This window comes from Homo sapiens, chromosome 7, assembly GCF_000001405.40.
Source record: "Homo sapiens chromosome 7, GRCh38.p14 Primary Assembly".
Classification (NCBI taxonomy): Eukaryota; Metazoa; Chordata; class Mammalia; order Primates; family Hominidae; genus Homo; species Homo sapiens.
The window spans coordinates 27,029,527-27,055,001 of NC_000007.14; the positions used below are offsets into that span (position 1 = coordinate 27,029,527).

The following is a 25,475-nucleotide window of genomic DNA, read 5'->3' on the forward strand; positions in this document are numbered from 1 at the left end:
ACAATATCTGACCAGCTCAGTTCGACAACAATTTATTGAACACCTGCCACAGCTTGGCCACTTGTGCTGACCTCCAAATTCTAAATGCTCTCTGCTACAAAGAGTCTACATGGTATAAAACACCTCTCAAGAGCTTCACTCAACTTGATAATCATGCTACCTAAAAGCCACTATAGGCCGGGCACAGTGGCTCATGCCTGTAATCCCAGCATTTTGGGAGGCCGAGGCAGGCAGATCATGAGGTCAGGAGTTTGAGACAGCCTGACTAATACAAGTAAAACCCCGTCTCTACTAAAAATACAAAATTTAGCCGGGTGTGGTGGCACAGGCCTGTAATCCCAGCTACTCAGGAGGCTGAGACAGGAGAATTGCTAGAACCAGGGAGGAGGAGGTTGCAGTGAGCCGAGATAGTGCCACTGCACTCCAGCCTGGGTGACAGGGTGAGACTCCGTCTCAAAAAACAAGAAAAGAAAAGAGAAGAGAAGAGAAAAGAAAAGAAAAGAAAAGAAAAAAAAGAGAAAAAGCTGCTATAGTATCAGATAGCAGAAAGGAACAGGGATTCCCTGGCAAAAGTATATTGGGCTGCATGATCTTGGGCAAATTACTTAACTACTCTATGCCAGTTTTCTCTTCTTTTTTGTTAAATTCTTTTTCTTTTATAGAGATAGGATCTCCTATGTTGCCCAGGCTGTTTTCAAACTCCTGGGCTCAAGTGATCCCTCTGCCTCAGCCTCCCAAAATGCTGGGATTACAAGCATGAGCCACCTCAACCACCAGCTAAGCCAGTTTTCTCATACCTAAATATATGTATTATACTTACCACCAGGTGGTTGTAAGGGTTAAATGAGAGAATGAATATAAAATCTGTTGTAAACTGTAACATCCCATCGGGTATTAGTTTTTTTGGTGTTAATCTGATTTAGCAGTGGAATGCAAGATGGAACCTAGGCGGGGGGCGGAGGGAAAAAAAGTCTGATAGAAAAACATCTTTAGGTACTCAGCCCTTAAAAGACCTCCCAGGGAGAGTAGCAACATTACAAAAACTCACACTGTTTCCCCTGTGGAGGGTACCCACTGAGCTAACAGAGGTAGGCCTCATGGGTCAGCCCCATTCTACCAAATGTATTCTTTCCCATTTGCTCCAGCTGGTGGTAACAGGTACAGAGGGAGCAAACCAGACAGCTGGTGCCACATGAAACAGAAAGATCTGTGCTTCGCCGTAAGGAAAAAAAAAAACTGTGGGAAACAGTGCAAGAACAAAAATAAGCAGGCAAGTGTTTGGGGCATTTCAGCTGGTAAGTGAGAGAGAGAAGCAGCCCCAAGACAGATGCAGTCCACGCCCTCCATCTGTAACCAGAGAGTGGCTCACATGTCAGAAAAAAGTTTGTCCTCCCTTAGGGGAATCTTGAAGGCTGTCAATGTTCTAACCATGAGGAATCACAAAATCTATACGGAACATTCCAACATGTGCAGGCCTGATAGGTCTCAGAGCAATGTTCTATGGGAGTCTGAGTTTTGCAGGCTTCTCACTTGGTGGACTGGGAATGTCAGTGAGAGGCGTGCTTTACAAGGGAGGGGAAGTGGTGTCTGAATCTGCTCAGAGACAGGCCCACTACTTAATTTAAGAAGGCAGTAGAAGGCCGGGCGCAGTGGCTCACGCCTGTAACCCTAGCACTTTGGGAGGCCAAGGAGGGCGGATCACCTGAGGTCAGGAGTTCAAAACCAGCCTAGCCAACATGGTGAAACCCCGCCTCTACTAAAAATACACAAAAATTAGCTGGGTATGGTGGTGGGCGCCTGTAATCCCATCTACTCGGCAGCTGAGGCAGGAGAATCGCTTGAACCCAGAAGGTGGAGGTTGCAGTGAGCTGAGGTCGCGCCACTGCACTCCAGCCCAGGCGACAGAGTGAGACTCCATCTCAAAAAAAAAAAAAAAAAGGGCAGTAGAACAGGGTGGTTAAGTAAGCCAACTGTCAGTCAAACAACCTGAGTTCAAATCCCAAATCCACTACTTACTTACTTAACCTATGTGATTTAGGGTTGCTTAATTTTGCTAAATTGCTTAACTTTAGTAGCAACATTTCCTAACTTTGGTAGCAAAGTTGCTTAACCTGACTAAGCTTCATTTTTTGATCTGTAAAATAGGGGCGAATAGTAGAAGAATGTTGTAATGAATAAGATGCTTGTAAAACAATTAGGAAGTGCCTGGTACAAAGTGAGCAGCCAATAAATGCTGGCTATTTCAGTATTGTTTCAAAAGGCAAGTTTATTAGGTTACCTAGTTCCTAAGGCCTAGAGAACAGGAAGTTAAAAGTGAAAGAAAGTGAAAATGTTTCTGTAGCATCAAACAGTAGCACATTCACTGGCAAGTGAGATAAGTTTCAAATGAAACCTTATGAACTATTTTAGATAAGTTAAACATACACGTAGAAAGACAATGACTAAATACTCAGTCACTAAATACTAGAATCAGAGCTCTATTTGGATTCCAGCTCCATCTATTAATAGCTCTGTGCCCTTGGCTTTATGCCTCTGTTCCACATTTGTAAAATGAGGATGATAATAGTATATACCTCATAATGTTGGAGTAAGGATAAAAATAAATGAGGCAATGCCTGTCTCAGTACAGGCCTTAGTACAGTCACTACCAATGAAAAGTACTTAATAATTAGTAGGTACTGTTTCCTTTATTACAAAAAAAAAATCAGAGGGCTATTTGTTAACCAAATTGAAAGCCTAACTCTCTGAACAGAGAAAGTAAAATATAGTGTTTTTTGAGAATCAGTTCTTGCTCTTACCAGAAGTAACTTTTCTATTTGAAGAAAATGTGTCAGTCTTTCCTAGGAAGAACTAATTTACCCAGGGTATCATAACACTTTTAGATTGGTCCACCCTACAATCTTGCTCTTACTATTGTGCTCTAACTAAACTAAGCAGAAAATTTATCTGAGGTAATTGAAAAATCTGAATTGTCTGACAGCTATGATTAATATTCTGCCCATATTTATAATTAAGTCATAGCCATAAAATAAGGCAAATGTCTCAAAAAATTCTAGCAAAAATTAAACTACATTTGCTTAAAGATTTATCAGTCTTACAATTCATTCCACATATTTAAAAAGTTTGCCAGTTCAGTAAAATTTAGTAGTAACAAAATAAAATGTATATTAAGTACATCAGAAATTAAAAATACACCCACTCACTTATTCATTCAAAAAACATTTCTGAATGCCTACTATGTGCCAAACACTGCCCTATGTTTTAAATCAAATATACTGTATTTGTTGCCTTTTACAAACTTCTTTCATTTATCATTTTCCATATTTCATTCAAACTTTCACATAACCTGATAACACTGCAAACTGATTAAAAGAGTTAACTATAAAAGCCCTGTCACTTTAAGAATTTGTAATTTTTTCCATTAACATTCCTCTCTGGTTTTATGTACTTGGTCTGTGCTGTGGGATGTAGCATAAATTATCTGCCTTCAGCAAAACGAGCAGCTGAAATGTGAGGCTGCCTGACAGTGCTTGTTAAGCCATTAGCTATTGTGAGCACACACTACTAGGGATGTCTGGCTCTCATGAGAAGTGTTTAAGTGGTTCAAAATATAGGAGTTTGGTCATGCAGTACAAAAAAAACAAGCCCAGTATTTTAGCACCATGCTTAGGGGTTAATTAATAAAAAGGATGAAAACAATCCTGGGATGTTTATTTTTAAAGAAAAGTATTACAAGTGAACACTTTGTGATTTACTGAAAGCCAGTAACAGGATAGGATGAAACAATATTTTTAGCAAAATCCTTCTACCACAGTCCAAGAAAATAAGTGTATTTCTTTTTTTCTTTTTTTTTTCTGGAGACGGAATCTCACTCTCTCGCCCAGGCTGGAGTGCAATGGCATGATTTTGGCTTACTGCAACCTCCGCCTCCCGGGTTCAAGCAAGTCTCTGCCTCAGCCTCCAGAGTAGCTGGGATTACAGGCACCTGCCAGCACACCCAGCTAATTTTTGTATTTTTAGTAGAGTCGGGGTTTCACCATTTTGGCCAGGCTGGTCTTGAACTCCTGACCTCATGATCCACCCGTCTCGGCCTCCCAAAGTGCTGGGATTACATGGGTGAGCCACCGCGCCCAGCCAAAAATAAGTGTATTTCTAAAACACAAAAGTGGTTGTTTGTTTAACTAAAAATTATTTTTAAAATATTACCTCTTTGGCCGGGTTTGGTGGCTCACGCCTGTAATCCCAGCATTTTGGGAGGCCGAGGGAGGTGGATCACAAGGTCAGGAGTTCAAGACCAGCCTGGCCAAGATGATGAAACCCCATCTCTACTAAAAATACAAAAATTAGCCAGATGTGGTGTCAGGCGCCTGTAATCTTAGCTACTCGGGAAGCTGAGGCAGGAGAATCTCTTGAACATGGGAGGCAGAGGTTGCAGTGATCCGAGATGGCACCACTGCACTCTAGCCTAGGCGACAGAGCAAGACTCCGTCTCAAAAATAAAAATAAAATAAAAATAAAAAAATATATATATCCTCTTTTATTCTCCCCACATCCATTTGCTTGCACTATCTGCAATAACCTGCTATACCCCTCCACTGCTCCCTTATCTCTATACCAGGCCTTATGGAAATCCTTTTCAGTTTTGTACAGCCCAACTCAGAAGCACCCCCTCTTCCATATGCCTCCTTACCCTCATCTGCCACCCCAGAGTGTTTTCACATGGCCCTGGCTGAAAGAGATCTCAGCACCCAGAGAAATCTGGGCACTAATTCATTGTCCTTCTTACCTCTTCTGTACCTTCTCTTAGGCCATCTTGTTTTATACTTACTGGTGTCTATATCTATCTCGTCAACTCGACTTTGAGTTTATTCATTTTGCATTTCACACAATGCCTAGTTCAAATTCTGTTAAGCGTCAGGTGAATAAGCCTGCTTAATACATTCATACTTTATGTACCTCAATTTCCTCATCTAGCAAGTGAGCCTAATAATATCTGCCCTGCCTAAGTAGAGTTTGTTATGCCATCAAATCAGATAACATATGTAAAAGCGTTTTTGAAAACTACTGCACATTTGTCTTAGTCCATTCAGTCTATTATTTTTAAAAATACCTTAGACTGGGTAATATACAAAGAAATTTATTTCTCATAGTTCTAGAAGCTGGGAAGTCCAAGATCAAAATGCCGACAGATTCAGTGTCTGGTGATGGCTTTTTGCTTCACAGATGTGTCTTCTTGCTAAGTCCTCACATAGTGGAAGAGCAAAAAGGCTCCCTCAAGCCTCTTTTATAAAAGCACCAATCCTATTCATGAGGGCAGAGTCCTCATGACCTAATCACCTCCCCAAAGCCCCACTATTTAATATTATTGCATTGGAGATTAGGTTTCAACATACGAATTTGGTGAGGGAACAAAAACATTCAGACCATAGCACATTCTTTGGCAAGCAATTTGGCAATGTTTATCAAAAGCCTTAAATCTTTTTCTTTTTTCTTTTTTTCTAAGAGACATGGTCAGCCGGACACAGTGGCTCACGCCTATAATCCTAGCACTTTGGGAGGCCGAGGCAGGTGGATCTCCTGAGGTCAGGAGTTTGAGACCAGCCTGACCAACATGGCAAAACCCTGTCTCTACTAAAAATACAAAAATCACCCAGGCGTGGTGGTGCATGCCTGTAATCCCAGCTACTCAGGAGGCTGAGACAGGAGAACTGCTTGAACCCAGGAGGCCGAGGTTGCAGTGAACTGAGATCGTGCCACTGCACTCCAGGCTGGCAACAGAGCAAGACTCTGTCTCAAAAAAAAAAAAAAAAAAAAAGACAGGGTCTCACTCTATCACCCAGGCTGGAGTACAGTGGTATGATAATAGCTCACTGCAGCTTCAAACTCCCGGGTTCAAGCAATCCTCCCACCTCAGCCTCCTGAGTAGCTAGGCGTATAAGCATGCACCATCATGCCTGGCTTTTTTTTAATTTTTTTGTAGAGATGGGGTCTCACTATGTTTCCCAGGCTGGTCTTGAACTCCTGGGCTCAAGTGATCCTCCTGCCTAGGCCTCCCAAAGTGCTGGGATTAAAGGCATGAGCCACACTGCACCTGGTCTTATTTTTTCTTATTCACTAATTATACTTCCAGTTTTTAATCCTAAGGAAAAAAATGTAAACATGGAAAAATTTTAAGCACAACAATGTTCAGATATTACATCTAATAATAATGAATGTGAAATAATTTAAACATCCAACAAAGGGGAATGGCTAAGTAAATTACTGCATATTGACTTGATGAAACATTATACAATAATTTTTAAATTATAAACATTATTTTAAGAGATGATATAATTACAGAAATGAGGAATGTTTAAGATGAAGTGTTAAAAGAAAAAATGTAGCATCGAAATTGTACATCTATCTTGACAATATATAAAAAAGAAACATCAATTCACCAAAAAAAAAATGATTGCAAGTACACTAAAATGCTAATAAAAGTTATTCCAAGGTAAGAGAATGAGTAGTTTCTTTTCTATATTATTTTATGTTTTCCAAATGTTGTTAAGTACACATTACCTTGAAAATAAAAAGACTCCAGGCATAGTGGCTCACACCTGTAATCCCAACACTTTGGGAGGCCAAGGCAGGAGGATTGCTTGAGGTCAGGTGTTCAAGACTAGCCTGGGCAACACAGCAAGACCCTGTCTCTACAAAATTTTTTTTTAATTAGCTGGGTATGGTGGTGTGTGCCTATAGTCCCAGCTACTCCGGAGGCTTGAGTCAAGAGGATTGCCTGAACCCAGGAGTTTGAGACTGCAGCAAGCTATGATTATGCCACTGCACTGAGGCCTGGGTGACAGAGTGAGACCTTGTCTCTTAAAAAAATTTAAAATAGGACCAGGGGGCAGGCATGGTGACTCACGCTTGTAATCCCAGCACTTTGAGAGGGCAAGGAGGGCGGATCATGAGGTCAGGAGTTCCAGACCAGCCTGGCCAACACAGTGAAAACCCGTCTCTACTAAAAATACAAAAATTAGCTGGGCATGGTGGCGGGCACCTGTAATCCCAGCTACTTGGGAGGCTGAGGCAGGAGAATTACTTGAATCCGGGAGGCGGAGGTTGCAGTGAGCCAAATCACGCCACTGCACTCCAGCCTGGGTGACAGAGCTAGACTCAATCTCAAGAAAAAAAAAAAAAATAGGGCTGGGTGCGGTGACACATACCTGTAATCCCAGCCCTTTGGGAGGCCGAGGCAGGTGGATTCGAGACCAGCCTGGCTTACATGGTGAAACCCCATTTCTACTAAAAAAAATACAAAAAAATTAGCCAGGCATGATGGCAGGCACCTGTAATCCCAGCTACTAGGGAGGCTGAGGCAGGAGAATCACTTGAACCCGGGAGGGAGGCAGAGGTCGCAGTGAACCAAGATCGCGCCATTGCACTCCTGCTTGGACAACAAGAGTGAAACTCCATCTCAAAATAATAATAATAATAATAATAATAATAATAATAATAATAATAATAAGGTTGGGCATGGTGGCTCACGCCTGTAATCCCAACAGTTTGGGAGGCCGAGGCAGATGGATCATCTGAGGTCAGGAGTTCGAGACCAGACTGGCCAACATGGTAAAACCCCATCTCTACTAAAAATACAAAAATTAGCCAGGTGTGGCAGCGCACCTGTATTCCCAGCTACTCAGGAGGCTGAGGCAGGAGAATATCTTGAACTCGGGAGATGGAGGCTGCAGTGAGCTGAGATTGTGCCACTGCACTCCAGCCTGGGCGACAGAGTGAGACTCCACCTCAAAAAAAGACAAAATAAATAAACAAATAATAAAAAGAAAGATAAACTTTCAACAGTAATTAAAAAGCTATATAAATACATGAATTTAAGAGCTATGAATATTGTATCTTTGGATTGCATCACTTCACTATTATATAGGCTCTAGGATAGCTCATTTTCTTAAATAAAAATAAACTAACTAAATCAGACTATGTTGTACTTCAGGCAGTACTTGTTAGACAACAAAAATAAAATTTAGGCCAGGCACGGTGGCTCACACCTGTAATCCCAGCACTTTGGGAGGCTGAGGTGGGTGGATCACTTGAGGTCAGGAGTTTGAGACCAGCCTGGCCAACATGGTGAAACCCCGTCTCTACTAAAATACAAAAATTAGCTGGGTGTGGTGGTGCACGCCTGTAATCCCAGTTACTTGGGAAGCTGAGGCACGAGAATCACTTGAACCCAGGAGGCAGAGGTTGCAGTGAGCAGAGATGGTGCCTCTGCACTCCAGCCTGGGCGATAGAGTGAGACTCTGTATCAAAAATAAATAATTTAATGTAATTTAATTTAAACCAGATTTCTTTGGTCCTAACTTAAAAATAATTTCAATAATTTTAACCAGTGAGTAAAAATGTCACTCCTTTCCTTTTTATTACTCAAATATATTCTCACTCACTGTAAGAACCTGTCTTCTGTCTCTATAGGTGTGTCATAAATGCTAATGTTATCTTTAAGAGTATTTCAGAATCCAAAGCTACCTTTTCTTTCACTCACTTCTGAACATTAACCTTCTTAAGTAAACTTGCTCTGTTTGAAAGAATCATATTTGCCCATGTGTTCAACAAGCCTAAGCATTTTTCTAGATCATCATCAAATGTCAAGGTTCACAAGTTTTTCAAATGTACTTAATGGTACTTAACGTTTCCATACTGGGGGAAATTTTTTTTACAAAAAGAAGAGGGGTGGGGCATGGTGACTCACCCCTGTAATCCCAGCACTTTGGGACGCCAAGACAGGTGGATCGCTTGAGCCCAGGAGTTTGAGACCAGCCTGGGCAATATAGTGAGACTTCATCTCTACAAGAAACAATTTAAAAAGTAGCAAAGCATAGTGGCAGGTGACTGTAGTCTCAGTTACTGAAGAGGCTGAGGTGGAAGGACTGTTTGAGCCCAAAAGGTAGAGGCTGCAGTGAGCTGAGATCGTGCCACTGCACTCCAGCCTGGGTAACAGAGCAAGACCCTGTCAAAAAAAAAAAAGAAGAGGAAGAAAAGAAAATGTCTACTACTTGTCAGAAAATCTCATTCCATAAAGTCATGTTTCTAAATGTGAATGATTTTGTGTTACCTTAAATATAAAATTAAAATACTTGTTTTTCATTTTCTGGTAATTTTCATGCACTTTTTAAAACACATCTCTTACCGGAGTTTGCAATTCCCATTCTCTTTCTAGTAATATCTATATTGATTTAATTTACATAGCAAATAGTCTTTACCAAGGAGAAAAAAATCTAACTTTTAAATTTTTTCCAAACCCAAATCTTCCTTTTAGAGAACTTGAATAAAAAAACTGCCTTATTTGACTATGTCATTGCTCTTTCCCAAGTTAATTTTATGACTATGTCTTTGTATTGAATTTGTTCACTCACATCTAACTGACCCAAATGCCTTATCAAGTGCCCAAATCAGGTCAAGGATAAGAGCTGCTAGTGATGCTATTTTGAGAAGAAACAAAATGTACTGTAATATACCAGTTCCCATTATGCCAAAATGCACCATTTCTTTGGCACATACATGTTATGTTTTACCAATAAGAGAAACAGTGATGAGCTGAGAAGGTAGTTCATCTGTACAGAATGGTTTGACTATTTTGTCTATGGATATTCACTGAAACCTTTCTAAAGTGTGGTTAGTATATGAAAGCATATATTTTGATTTACAAATGCAGAATTTTACTTGCTACATATAGGTGATCATTAGTCCTTTCAAGGACGGGAAATGTCCCTTTTTTAATTGAGATGGAGTTTTGCTCTTTTGGTCCAGGCTGGAATGCAATGGTGTGATCTCGGCTCACTGTAACGTCTGCCTCCCGGATTCAAGCGATTCTCCTACCTCAGCCTCCCAAGTAGCTGGGATTACAGGCATGCACCACCACGCCCAGCTAGTTTTGTATTTTTAGTAGAGGCAGGGTTTCTCCATGTTGGTCAGGCTGGTCTCGAACTCCTGACTTCAGGTGATCCGCCTGCCTCAGCCTCCCAAAGTGCTGCGATTACAGGCGTAAGCCACCGTGCCGGACCAAGAAATGTATTTCTTTTACCTTTGTACACTGAGTATCTAGCCCATTGCCTGCACATTGTAAGTGCTTAAGAAGTGTTTGTTAAACCAGTGATACCACAACACAGTTGACTTATTGAAAAGCAACTGCCAAGTTGTACCATACTGCAACAGGCACTGTGGCTAATTAGCTCAGTTTATTAGTGCAAGGAAGTGAGGTCAAGGACTCAATTCCCAAAAGGATCTTTTGGCCTTATTCTAGTCACAATTTCATACCTTGTTCCATCCAACAAGCCATCTCTCCTATGACTGCAAGGAGAATCAGACAAGCAGAGGCAGAAAGAAATAGTTTAACACAATTCATCACCATTCTAATACAGATAATTTAGAAATTAAACAGGTAATAAATGAACTGTGCATCCTTTTGATATGAAAAATTCCAATATTTCAGTATGTGAGATTTGGTTATAAGGGTAAAATAAAAAGTTCTGGAGATAATGGTTACAAAACAATGTGTATGACACTAAATTGTACATTTTAAATAGTTAAATGGTAAATTTAATGTTATGCATATTTTGCCACAATAAAAAATAAAGTTAAATTATTAAAATGTGAAAAAAAATTATAAGTTAACACAGCTTAAATTAACATCCAGCAACCTCACATGTAAAATAAACAGGTAAAAAATGAAAAAAAAAGAGTAAAATAATAACATTAACTGCTGATCCTTAAAGTAATACAAACTAATATAGAAACCCTGTATCATTTTATTATAACTGTAAAGTTTGTCACAGAGTTCTTATGAGGATAATGTCTTGTGATTGCTATAAAAAGTCATTTAATTCAAAACATTTGGCTAATAAAGGATTTCTTTTTTTTGGACAAGGGAATTTCAATAAAATGCTTTGCAAAATAAAGAAAATGAATGGATACAAGACATATAGTCTTAAAAATAAAGCTTTTCTCCAAGGACTCTCAAATAAACTTCTATTATGAACAGAGCCTATTTCAGTAGTTTGAACACAGGAGAATTTTAATTTGTTTTCAAGATTTCACTGGCTCTAATGTCTCAGGAAAGTAAGCCAGCTTCTATATACACATTTTCTATATAAGTGGAAATAATACTACTTACTGCTTCATATGGGGTGCTATGTGAATTAATTGGTTAATGGTCTTAAAGCACTGCCTAAGTACTAAACGTTATCATTAGTGTGCATTGTATATCTCTTTGCAATTATCTGCCACCTTAAAATGCTGTGGCTTGTAAGGCTGCCTCTCTCTTGGAATATTTACAAAAGGTTAAAGAAAGTTCAAGAGGAAAAAAAGCATGTAGGCTAAGGTAAGGCAGAAGAAAGGGAAATTCAAAATCTGACATGTTTTATTACATGCTTTTTGTTACATCGTATTACATGTTTCTTGAAATTACAGATCATTATGCTAGAAGAAAAAATTTAGTCACACACATTTTGAATTCAAAATATGCTACATAGTTTTAAGAAATCAATCTATAATAGAACTAAGCAAATAAAGTATACATTGCATTAAGATAAAGTTATAATTTATTTTATTATAATTTAATTGTTAATCATAATAGTTACATGTTTAATCTTATTAGTTGAAAGAGCCTATCTGACATCTGTGAGACCAGATCCAATAATGCCTGTGTTTTTTTTTTTTCTGCTGTTAAAGTCTTCAAATATTTTTTGGAAGATAAATTCTTAAATGCACAGAATAAAATTTCTACTGAATTAATAAGAAAAACAATAGTAGTAGTAGTAATACCTTACACTTACACAGTGATTTATAATTATACCAGGTAGCAAGAACTGTGAAGGTCTGAGACTTTACCTTACCAGTCTGCAAACTAGTCTGCTAGTTTCATGGGTGCTGACAGAAGACACAAGACTCCTGGATCAAAGACAAGTGACAGTTTATTACTAATAGCAATGGCAGTAGCCAGAGCATCTTCATTTTCTTGTGGCAGTAGCCCAAGCCCCAGTTCCCACAGGGTGACACAAGGGCTACGAGACATGTGCACACACACTGGGTTGTATTACAGAAGAGTAACCCTGAGCTTAGAAAACCTCAGTCTTTTCCCTTTGCTCCAGAGAAAGACATTCTCTCTTCCAAGGCTGTTTGCTATACCAAAATTCATGAAAAAAAGTCCAGAATAAGAGGCTAGCAGTGCCTCTGCTCACAAGACATGCATAAATATTTGAGAACCAAGGAGAGTTATGTCCCAATACTAGGGTGACCATATATCCTAGTTTGCTTGTGACAGTCTTGACCAATACTAGTTGTCTCAGCTTAATTATTAATAGCACCCCTTTCCACTCTCGCAAGTGTACCAGTTTGGACAAGAAATTATATAGTTACCACAGTTATAATTCTTTAAAAAATTACCTGCCTGGTCAGAGTACTGCTGATATCTACAGTTAGGGTTGGGTCAATCAAATAGCACAAGAGAGTAAAAGTCAAAAGGGGGAAAAGCAAATCATGCATATCATTTTAATAATATGCATTATTATATGCATAGAATAATATGCATTATTCTAAATGAAGAAGACTTCAAGCACTTATTTAGAAGAAAAGAGACTATTCCAGGAAAAATAAAAGCTGGTTTGATTGTGTCTTAACCACTTAAGACAAACCACTTAAAAATGGCAACTGAAGCTTTGCATAACTGGTACAGTAATTACACTATTTTGCCTGAATACTTGTCCTTCTTTACTGAAAGATCTCAGGTAATTTTTACCCTAAGTATCCCTGAAACTAAGAAATTTTCTGACTTCCATTTTGAGTTGTAAAGAATATTAAAACTTTACAGAATATTAAAAATTACCAGGATATTTCAGCCACATCCAGACAATTTACTCCTGGCAGGTTCCCCATTCTTCTCACCCCTCCGCACAGTTCAAGCTATTTGATTTTGACAGCATTCCACACCCGTCCTCATTCTCTTCCCCTACTTCCCCACCCTTGAGCTCAACTCTGACCCCTGTGTCTACCATCAATTCTGACCTTAGACAATAGTGATTTAATGAGTTTTCACTCAATACTATGGAACCAAGCTCAATTTATCCCTGGCTCAAATAGCCCAGTTCTATCTAGAGCACTTTGGTCTTATTCCATAGATCATCAGTGTCCATCCAAATTTCCAATTACAGTAAGTAAATCCTTGATGGTCTCATTCCCTGAACTTAAATTGGTACTTCAGTCCTTGGGGATTGGGACCCTCCCATACACTTGTCAGGCCCCTCGCAGGGAAGAGAATCCTGCAGCAGATCATAAGTCCTGAACCAAGGGTTTGCCAACCTGACCATGCTGGTTTTCAAATATCACAAGCTTCTGGGTTCTCTGTACCTATGTTTTGCATGCCTGTTGAGGACCATTATCGCCACATGGGACTTTCGAGATACACGACATTTTACTGGAATATCTTCCACCCCATATACCTACCATGGAGTGCCCATGAGCATGGACTTTCTCTCTTAATTTACCCAGAGTCTCTCATGATAATGATCATTTCAAAGACCTCAGGTCAATTACAGTCTTATTCCTTCCCATTCTGCCAGTTCTGCACCAAGTGGCCTGTTCATACTTGACTCTATTCTGAAATGTCACTGAGAATTTTTGTATTGCTGTTCTCCTTTCACAACTATATCTAATGAATTAATTTCATTATTCCAGCAGGTTCTCTGTATGAAAACAACAAAGTTTAACAAAGTGTCTGTGTTGCAAAATGGTCTCAGTATGTGATAGATTATGAGAATGCCTAGACTTTGTTTATGAGTTTGCAAATTTTCAATTCATATGGGTCCTTAGGAAATTACTTAAATCTCAATGTAAAATAAAATAACAAAATTCCATAGAAAAAGTTGTATGTACATTATAATTGCAATTGTGTAAAGAAAAAATCATGGGTGTGAGCAAAGTCTAAAAAGCAATCCACAAACAGCAATATATTTCATAAACAAGTGAATAGTTAAGTTAGAGTAATGTAATTTTGGAGTTGTTTTCTTTTTTAAAAAATATCCATGTTGTGAGATCTAATTAAAATAAAGAGCTTATGCACAGCAAAAGAAACTATCAACAGAGTAAACAGACAACTTACAGAATGGGAGAAAATTTTTGCAAACTATGCATCTGAGAAAGGTCTAATATCTAGCATCTACAAGGAACTTAAACAAATTTACAAGAAAAAAAACCCATAAAAAAGTGGGCAAAGGACATCAACAGACACTTTTCAAAAGAAGACATACATGTGGCCAACAATCATATGAAAAAAGCTCAACATCACTGATCATTAGAGAAATGCAAATCAAAACCACAATGAGATACCCCTCATACCAGTCAGTGGCTATTATTAAAAAGTCAAAAAATAACTGATGCTGGTGAGGTTGTGGAGAAAAAGAAATGTTTACACACTGTTAGTGGGAGTGTAAATTAGTTCAACTATTGTGGAAGACAGTGTTCCTCAAAGACTTAAAGACAGAAATACCGCTGTAAGAAACATAGAAAACCCTCTCCCTCTCCCTCTCCCTCTCCCTCTCCCTCTCCCGATGCCGAGCCGAAGCTGGACTGTACTGCTGCCATCTCGGCTCACTGCAACCTCCCTGCCTGATTCTCCTGCCTCAGCCTGCCCAGTGCCTGCAATTGCAGGCACGCGACGCCACGCCTCACTGGTTTTCGTATTTTTTTGGTGGAGACGGGGTTTCGCTGTGTTGGCCGGGCTGGTCTCCAGCTCCTAGCCGCGAGTGATCCGCCAGCCTCGGCCTCCCGGGGTGCCGGGATTGCAGACGGAGTCTGGTTCACTCAATGCTCAATGGTGCCCAGGCTGGAGTGCAGTGGCGTGATCTCGGCTCGCTACAACCTCCACCTCCCAGCCGCCTGCCTTGGCCTCCCAAAGTGCCGAGATTGCAGCCTCTGCCCGGCCGCCACCCCGTCTGGGAAGGGAGGAGCGTCTCTGCCTGGCCGCCCATCACCTGGGACGTGAGGAGCCCCTCTGCCTGGCTGCCCAGTCTGGAAAGTGAGGAGCGTCTCTGCCCGGCCGCCATCCCATCTAGGAAGTGACGAGCGCCTCTTCCCGGTCGCCATCCCATCTAGGAAGTGAGGAGCGTCTCTGCCCGGCCGCCCATCGTCTGAGATGTGGGGAGAGCCTCTGCCCCGCCGCCCCGCCTGGGATGTGAGGAGCGCCTCTACCCGGCCGCGACCCCGTCTGGGAGGTGAGGAGCGTCTCTGCCCGGCCGCCCCGTCTGAGAAGTGAGGAGACCCTCCGCCTGGCAACCGCCCATCTGAGAAGTGAGGAGCCCCTCCGCCCGGCAGTCACCCCGTCTGGGAAGTGAGGAGCGTCTCCGCCCAGCAGCCACCCCGTCCGGGAGGGAGGTGGGGGTCAGCCCCCGCCAGACCAGCCGCCCCGTCCAGGAGGGAGGTGGGGGGGTCAGCCCCCCGCCCGGCCAGCCGCCCCATCCGGGAGGTGAGGGGCGCCTCTGCCCTGCCGCCTCTACTGGGAAGTGAGGAGCCCCTCTGCCCGGCCAGCCGCCCCGTCAGGGAGGGAGGTGGGGGGGTCAGCCCCCTGCCCGGCCAGCCACCCCGTCTGGGAGGGAGGTGGGGGGGTCAGCCCCCCCGCCCGGCCAGCTGCCCCTTCTGGGAGGCGAGGGGCGCCTCTGCCCGGCCGCCCCTACTGGGAAGTGAGGAACCCCTCTGCCTGGCCAGCCGCCCCGTCCGGGAGGGAGGTGGGGGGGTCAGCCCCCCACCCGGCCAGCCACCCCGTCCGGGAGGGAGGTGGGGGGATCAGCCCCCTGCCCGGCCAGCCGCTCCGTCCGGGAGGGAGGTGGGGGGGGTCAGCCCGCCGCCCGGCCAGCTGCCCCGTCCGGGAGGTGAGGGGTGCCTCTGCCCGGCCGCCCCTACTGGGAAGTGAGGAGCCCCTCTGCCCGGCCAGCCGCCCGTCCGGGAGGGAGGTGGGGGGGTCAGCCCCCTGCCCGGCCAGCCGCCCCATCCGGGAGGTGAGGGGCGCCTCTGCCCAGCCGCCCCTACTGGGAAGTGAGGAGCCCCTCTGCCCGGCCACCACCCCGTCTGGGAGGTGTACCCAACAGCTCATTGAGAACGGGCCATGATGACAATGGCGGTTTTGTGGAATAGAAAGGGGGAAAGGTGGGGAAAAGATTGAGGAATCGGATGGTTGCTGTGTCTGTGTAGAAAGAGGTAGACATGGGAGACTTTTCATTTTGTTCTGTACTAAGAAAAATTCTTATCCTGTTGATCTGTGACCTTACCCCCAACCCTGTGCTCTCTGAATCATGTGCTGTGTCCACTCAGGGTTAAATGGATTAAGGGCGGTGCAAGATGTGCTTTGTTAAACAGATGCTTGAAGGCAGCATGCTCATTAAGAGTCATCACCACTCCCTAATCTCAAGTACCCAGGGACACAAACACGGCGGAAGGCCGCAGGGTCCTCTGCCTAGGAAAACCAGAGACCTTTGTTCACTTGTTTATCTGCTGACCTTCCCTCCACTATTGTCCTATGACCCTGCCAAATCCCCCTCTGCGAGAAACACCCAAGAATAATCAATAAAAATAAATAAATAAATAAATAAATAAATAAATAAATAAAAAGAAACATTTAAAAAAAAAAAGACAGAAATACCATTTGACCCAGCAATCCCATTACTGGGAATATACCCAAAGTAATACAAGTCATTCTATTACAAAGACACATGTGTGTGTATGTTTATTGCAACACTATTCACAATAGCAAAGACATGGAATCAACCTAAATGCTCATCAGTGATAGACTGGATAAAGAAAATGTGGTATATATACACCATGGAATACTATGCAGCCATAAAAAAAAGATCATGTCCTTTGCAGGGACATGGATGAAGCTGGAGGCCATTATCCTTAGCAAACTAACACAGGAACAGAAAACCAAATACTGCATGTTCTCGCTTATAAGTTGGAGCTAAATGATGAAAACACATGGACACATTGTGGGGAACAACACACACTGGGGCCTATCAGAGGGTAGAGGGTGGGAGGAGGGAGAGGATCAGGAAAAATAACTTAGGGTAATAGGCTTAATCACCTGGGTGATGAAATAATCTGCACAACAAACCCACATGACACACATTTACCTATATAACAAACCTGCACATGTACCCCTGAACTTAAAATAAAAGGAAAAAAAATCCATTTTGCATTTTGAAAAGGAAAAGAAAATTATGATATGTATTTATCATAAGGTAATACTTTGTAAGCACACTGGGATAACAATGAAAAATACTGTAGTTATCAATGCTTCCTTTTTAATGAGCTCTTCCTTAATCAAATCTTGGTTTAGCTTTGTATTGATTTTAGAACATGCTCCCTTTCCTATGCACATGTGTGTTTTTCAAAGGCTGCAAAAGGTTAACAATTGTTATATATCATTATATACTAACAGTTGGTCTAATGACTAAGGATTGAATCAGCAATCTTGGTAACTTCCTCTTAGCTCTATGACCCTAGCAAGGCACTTAACCTCTGTTTCTCTTTCAAAAGGAATAACAACAATTGCTGAATTCGGAAAATATCTATAGACTATATTTATATTAAGACCTTTCAGTGAAAATGAGAAATGAATGTAAACTCATAAAGACCCAGTTCAGATAATGTACTTCTGTAGTCTAACACATGAATTTTTTTTCTTTTTTTTTTTTTTTGTTTCTTTTGTTTTTTGGGTTTTTTTTTTTTGAGACAGAGTCTCACTTTGTCACACAAGCTGAAGTGCAGTGGTGCAATCTCGGCTCATTCCAACCTCTGCCTCCCGGGTTCAAGCCATTCTCCTGAGTCAGCCTCCTGAGTAGCTGGGACTACAAGCGCCCGCCACCATACCCGGCTAATTTTTTTGTATTTTTAGTAGAGACAGGGTTTCACCCTGTTAGCCAGGCTGGTTTCGAACTCAAGTCCTCAGGTGATCCACCTGCCTCAGCCTCTCAAAGTGCTTGGATTACAGGCATGAACCACCGTGCCTGGTCTAATACATGAAATTTTTATTTGATAAAAATGTGTTCTTAGATTGTAACTGAGATTACTGACTATGGAATTTAAGTTAGATTGTTATTATATTAAAACACTTTGGGCCGGGCGTGGTGGCTCACGCCTGTAATCCCAGCAGTTTGGGAAGCTGAGGCGGGTGGATCACCTGAGATCAGGAGTTCGAGACCAGCCTGGCCAACATGGTGAAACCCTGACTCTACCAAATACAAAAAATTAGCCGGCCTTGGTGGCGCATGCCTGTAATCCCAGCTACTCGGGAGGCTGAGGCAGGAAAATCGCTTCACCCTGCGAGGCAGAGGTTGCAGTAAGCTGAGATGGCGCCATCGCACTCCATCCAGCCTGGGCAACAAGAGCGAAACTCCATCTCAAAATAAATAAATAAATAAAACTTTGCTAAATATCAGAACAACATTTTGACAAATTTTCAATGAAAGGCATAGTATGACATGTAGAAAACATATAATTTCCATGGGCCAAAGTTAGAATTTACCATTATAGAGAAAATAATTTCTTTATAGAAATGTTAAAGTTCTTCGGCCTCCTTGGGACTAGGTTTCCGCGGCTGCTGCGATGACCAAAATAAAGGTAGATTCGATGGGCCCGAGGCTCAGGAGGAGGCGTGCTCCGGGGAGCGCACCTACCAGGAGCTGCTGGTTAACCAGAACCCCATCGTGCAGCCCCTGGCTTCTCGCCGCCTCACGCGGAACCTCTACAAATGCATCAAGAAAGCCATGAAGCAGAAGCAGCTTCGGCGCGGGGTGAAAGAGGTTCAGAAATTTGTCAACAAAGGAGAAAAAGGGATCATGGTTTTGGCAGAAGACACACTGCCCATTGAGGTATACTGCCATCTTCCAGTCATGTGTGAGGACCGAAATCTGGCCTATGTCTCTATCCCTCTAAGATGAACCTGGGTGCAGCCGCAGGCTCCAAGTGCCCCACCTGTGTGATAATGGTCAAGCCCCACAAGGAGTACCAGGAGGCCTACGACAAGTGCCTGGAGGAGGTGCAGTCCCTACCCCTACCCCTATGAGGGGCTCCAGTAGCACCTGGGCACCTGCCTCTGGAAGCTACTGGGCTGACGGCGGGACGACCGGCTGTCCTCTTGCCCACCCACACTGACGGCATCTTCCTAGTTCCCCAAGGCACGCCTTCTTCCCAGGCAGCTCTTACAGCCCTTTCATGAAGGTAATGCCCGCCTTCTCTCCATCAGTGCCATTTCCCATAGAACTAAAGGGTATTCCAAGAATGGGGGGTGGGGAAAGTAAATGCTAAGACTAAAAAGAATAAAAAATAAAAATAAAATAAAATAAAATTAATGTTAAAGTTCTTCTAGGCCAGACATGGTGGTATGTGCCTGCATTCTCAGCTACTCAGGATGCTGAGGCAGGAAGATCACTTGAGTCCAACCTGAGCAACATAGTGAAACCCCATCTCTAAAAAAATAAGTAAATCAGCCAGGCACAGTGCCTCACACCTGTAATCCCAGCACTTTGGGAGGCCAGGGTAGAAGGATAGCTTGAAGCCAGGAGTTTGAGACCAACCTGGGCAACATGGCAAGACCCCATTTCTAAAATAAATTAATTAAATTAAATTAACTTATTCTAAATAGTTTAACATATTCACCAGCTGTAATGGTAAATTAATAAAAATCCTGCTTTCACTGGGTGCGGTGGCTCACGCCTGTAATCGCAGCACTTTGGGAAGCTGAGGCGGGTGAATCACCTGAGGTCGGGAGTTCGAGACCAGCCTGACCAACAGGGAGAAACCCCGTCTCTACTAAAAATACAAAATTAGCCGGGGTGGTGGTGCATGCCTGTAATCCTAGCTACGCGGGAGGCTGAGGCAGGAGAATCGCTTGAACCCGGGAGGTGGAGGTCGCGGTGAGCCGAGATCACGCCATTGCACTCCAGCCTGGGCAAAAAGAGTGAAACTCCGTCTCAAAAAAAAAATCCAGGCTGGGCACGGTGGCTCACACCTGTAATCCCAGCACTTTGGGAGGCCGAGGCGGGCAGATCATGAGGTCAGGAGATCGAGACCATCCTGGCTAACACGGTGAAACCCCGTCTCTACTAAAAATACAAAAAAAAAAAAAAAATCAGCTAGGCATGGTGGCACGTGCCTTTAGTCCCAGCTACTCGGGAGTCTAAGGCAGGAGAATCGCTTGAACCCGGGAGACGGAGGTTGCAGTGATCCGCAATTGCGCCACTGCACTCCAGCCTGAGCGACAGAGTGAGACTCCGTGTCAAAAAAAAAAAAAATCCTGCTTTCTCGGAAGTTATTGAAGAAATATTGCTGCAAAGATTAATTACCATTCTACTGTCTGAAAAGTGTACCTTCAAGCTGTTAAATTAGTGAATGGAGATCTATTATGACTTTAACAAGAATATTACTCACCAGGGGGATTACTGCTATTAACAGTAGGATGTATCATTTAAGACATTAAAATTGAATGGAAATGTTTTTCAACCATTTAAATAAAACTCCTTGTTCTTTACTTCACAATGAAGCTTTCTTTTGCTAGCTTCTGTATTGTAGGAGTTTATGCAAGATTTTCCTGGTAGTACCATTTCAGATTACTTTTACATTTGTAAACCCCTATATTCCCATTTCTGTTTCATAGAGACAGAACTAGAGAGATACTAAATTGATATAATTTAGCAATGTTTGCAATCTCATAGGTGAGAACTCTATTCTAGCTACAAAATTACCACCATTACTATAAGCCAACTACATATCTCACGGTTAGACAAACTATTTGCATTCAAAGACCTCAGATGCTAAATCTGTTAGCTTTCTTCCTATATGTGCTAGATTCTATGTAGGGAACTTAATCAAATATAAAGTATATGGGTCACTACAGAAAGAGGAAGAGAATGATCTCTGTGTGTGTGTGTGTGTGTGTGTGTGTGTGTATCTATCTATCTATCTATATATATTTTTTTTTTTTTTTTGGACACAGAGTTTCGTTTTGTTGCCCAGGCTGGAGTACAGTGGTGCCATCTTGGTTCACTGCAGCCTCCACCTCCTGGGTTCAAGCGATTCTCCTGCCTCAGCCTCCCAAGTAGCTGAGACTACAGGCATGCGCCACCACACCCAGCTAATTTTGTAGTTTTAGTAGAGACAGGGTTTCACCATGTTGGTAAGGCTGGTCTCGAACTCCTGACCTCAAGTGATCCACCTGCCTCAGCCTCCCAAAGTGCTGGGATTACAGGCATGAGCCACCGCACCTGGCCCTAAAATATTTTAAAATGATAAAATACTATCTCCAAAATTCAAATTAGTACAGATTTAAATTTATTTTAATTCTTAATGCTGGCCATGGTGCAAAAAGTTGGACACTTATATTCACTTCATTTTGCAAAGTAAATTAGTACTTTTTGGAGAGCAATTTGTTTGTTTTGAGACAGGGTTTTGCTCTGTCACCAAGGCAGGAGTGCAGTGGCATGATCACAGCTCACGGCAGTCTCGACCTCCAGGGTACAAGTGATCCTCCTGCTTCAGCCTCCCAAGTGGCTGGGACTACAGGGGTGTGCCACCATGCCTGGCTAATTTTTTTCTTTTTTTTTTGAGACAGAGTCTCACACTGTCACCCAGGCTGGAGTGCAATGGCACAAGCTTGGCTCACTGCAACCTCCGCCTCCCGGGTTCAAGCCATTCTCCTGCCTCAGCATCCTGAGTAGCTGGGGTTACAGGCATGGATCACCATGCCCAGCTAATTTTGTATTTTCAGTAGAGATGGGGTTTCACCATGTTAGCCAGGCTAGTCTTGAACTCCCGACCCCAGATGATCCACCCACCTCAGCCTCCCAAAGTGCTGGGATGACAGGCGTGAATCACCGCAGCCGGCCAATATATATATATTTTTTTCTTAAGTAGAGATGAGGTCTTGCTATGTTACCCAGGCTGGTCTCGAACTCCTGAGTTCGAGCAACTCACCTCCCTCGGCCTCCCAAAGTGCTAGGATTACAGATGTGAGCCACTATGCCCAGCCAAAAGCAATATGGTTAATATGAATCAAGAGCCTTGTGAACAATCTCACCCTTTGACCCAGTACTACCACTTCTGGGAGTCTATCCTTAGAAAGTGACGCAAAATGCTGACTACCCCCAAAAATGTGCCAAAGATGTTAATAATAGCAAAATGCCAGAAATGATCTAAGTCCAACAAAAGGAATGTTAAAGCAAATTATGGTAATGCAAAGAATGAAGTATTTTGCAGCTATTAAAAATTATGCATGCATTGGCCAGGTGTGGTGGGTCACGCCTGTAATCTCAGCACTTTGGATGGCCGAGGTGGGTGGGTCACTTGAGGCCAGGAGTTCGAGAACAGCCTGGCCAACATGGTAAGACTCCAGCCTGGGCAACAGAGCAAGACTCCGTTTCAAAAAAAAAAAAAAATTATGCATGCATTTATATATATATATATATATAAAACATATATTTGTGTATATATATATAAATGCATGCATAATTATATATATATATGTTATAGATATATAATTTTTTAAGAGACAGGGTCTCGCTCTGTCATTCATGCTGGAGTGCAGTGACATGATCACAGCTCACTGCAGCCTGTAACTCCTGGGCTCAAAGGATCCTCCTGCCTCAGCCTCCCAAGTAGCTAGGTCTATAGCTACATGCCACCATGCAGGGCAAATTTTTTTGTTTTTAATTTTTTTGTAGAGACAAGGTCTTGCTATGTTGCCCAGGCTGGTCTTGAACTCCTGGATTCAAGCAATCCTTCCACCTCTGCCTCCCAAAGTACTGGGATTATAGGCACAAGCCACCATACCTGGCTTGTACAAATATTTTTTAATGACAAGCCAAAATGCTTCTAATGAAATGTTAAGTGAAAAAGGCAAGATACAAAATTATATGTGCTCTATGATGTAAACAGGAATGGAGGGCAGGAAATTGGATTTAAAAATAAAAAGACCAAATAGAAATGATGACAACAATAGTAGCTTCTAGTTTGAGGAGACCGTGGGTGAATTTTTTCTAGTTCTTCACACTTACTTTTCAGTACTTTCCAAACATTTTCCAAACATTTTATATTTACATTTAATGAGAATGTAGTATTTTTATAATGACAGAAAATGGGTTGGGAACTGAAAGCAAATAAATTTTACTTTTTTTAGAAAATGGAAGGCATGAAGGTATTCAGATATAAGCAAATTTTTTAAAAAGCAAATACCTAAAAGTGAACGTAGATTGATCTTATTTTTGTTTTTGTTTTTTTGAGACAGGGTCTCACTCTGTCACTCAGGCTGAAGTGCAGTGGCACAATCTTTGCTCATTGCAACTGCCACCTCCCAGGCTCAAGCAATCCTCCCACCTCAGCCTCTTGAGTAGCTGGGGCTACAGACACCCTGCCATCACGCCTGGCTAATTTTTTGTATTTTTTGTAGAGATGAGTTTCACCATATTGCACAGACTGTTTTGTTTTGTTTTTTAAGTATGGGCACAGTGACTGGTGCCTATAATCCCAGCTACTCAGGAGGCTGAGTTGGGATGATCCTTTGAGCCCTGGAGTTCAAGTTGCAGTTGTCATAGGACTTTCTCCTTAGGGTTCTTGTCACACAACCAGGAAAGATTAGGTTCTCAGACACTTTGAAGGGTGAGAAAGGCAGGATTTATTGGGTGAAAAGGAAAAAAAAAGGAAACAGGGACTCTCAGAAAAGCAAGAGTCCTGCTGGCTGGCTTCCTGCCTCACAGACTGAATCCCAGGTTACCACACAGGAATAGCAGAGGCCAGACTCCTCCCCCATGCAAAGGGCACGAACATCCCAGGGCTCTACCCCATTCTCTGGGTGCACAGGCCAGTCAAAAGTTCTCCGTGGACCACTTTATACTTGGCTGTCTCACAGTGAGCTATGATCATGTCACTGCACTCTGGCCTGAGCGGCAAAGCAAGACCCTGTCTCCAAACAAACAAACAAAAATATTCTCAGTAAGCTGGTACTACTGTTACAATTTTTTTTTAATTGGACTGAGACCTAGGTCCATTTGCAATTTCTTGCTTTTAATTGCTATAGCTTTCAATAAAAGAATAATGAGCTAAGTCACTTGTGTCCAATGTAACAATCAATAGAAACATGCAGCCTGTAAATCAAAGCACAACCGGGAAACATTTAAACACATGGATCATTTCCCTAAGAAGTTACCTTTTTAAATCAACTTTTTAATGGCAAAGTGTTGGAAAAAGAAAAGATTATTGTACTTAGGGGAAAGAATGGAATAGATGAAAAATATCAAAACTGCTTACAAATTTACCAGTCAGTTCACATTCAAGTACAAGAATAAAAATTTAATTGGAAAATCTCTGTACTTACTAAAAATTATCTATATAAAATGAGCTAATAGCAGAAACACAACCATTTGTAATCAAAATTCGTATTTCCATTGAATGTGGCTGTTTTATTTACAGCAACACAGAGACAGATATAGAGAAGAATCCAATCTTCATGCTTTGGTAATGGTATCTACCTGGTCAAAGTGCTGGGAATCAGTGTCCAAGCTCTCTGGATATACTTACAATGAACATTCATTCATTTATTCACTGACCATTTCTATAAACCTTTATTGAATAGCTACTGCTACCTATCCAATATCATGTGAGTCTAAAACAACTAGAATATCAGTTTCAAAATATTTTGTGGGCACTACCTATGTATTTAGCACTCTGCTAAATATGGTAGCAATTACTATAGAGGAATGTGGAGAGGCAACTATCACTTCTATACAATCAGCATTTAAAATAGAATTTTAGAACTGAAGAAATATTAAAGCAGTGAGTCCTTACTTTTTTGAGTTAACACTGTTTAAGTGGAATGATAATTCTGTTAGATGGTATCTGTTTTCGTTAGTGGCCTTACTTAGGAAAATAAAATATTTGCAAACATATATGAGTTTCCTAACTTTATTTTACAATATTACAAGTACATGAAATCCAAAAGTTTAGAAACTATTGTCCTAAAGGCCATAGAGAGAAAAGTATACATTTAATTCTATAGGCAGTTGAAATGGTCTCTGAGTATGGAATAAGACTGGAGTAGTACAATGTAATAATAGATTAGATGGTCTTATTTGTTGACATCTTCTTAATTGACTTTAGAAAAGGTAATTTAGTAAAATATTTTTTTAAAAGTTTTAATATAAAAAGAAGAAACTTGGCTGGGCGTGGTGTCTCATGCCTGTAATCCCAGCACTTTGGGAAGCTGAGATGAGCGGATCAATTGAGCTCAGGAGTTCAAGACCAACCTGGGCAACATGGCAAAAACAAAAAAATTAGCCTGATGTGGTGGTGCAAGCCTATAGTCCCAGCTACTCAGGAGGCTGAGGTGGGAGAACCCATTGAGCCCAGGAGGTGTGGTCGCACCACTGCTCTCCAGCCTGGGTGACAGA

At 42.0% G+C, this 25,475-nt stretch overlaps 1 pseudogene, besides 1 other annotated feature; it reads left to right on the plus strand.

Annotated features, from left to right (window-relative positions):
- Positions 762-1,467: an enhancer, noted in NCBI's record as "OCT4-NANOG-H3K4me1 hESC enhancer chr7:27069907-27070612 (GRCh37/hg19 assembly coordinates)". NCBI's record gives its function as "activates a minimal SCP1, AML or CMV promoter by ChIP-STARR-seq in naive H9 embryonic stem cells {active_cell/tissue: H9 hESC(naive)}" and the evidence as "EXISTENCE:reporter gene assay evidence [ECO:0000049][PMID:30033119]".
- NHP2P2 (NHP2 ribonucleoprotein pseudogene 2) lies at positions 18,609-19,352 on the plus strand (annotated as a pseudogene).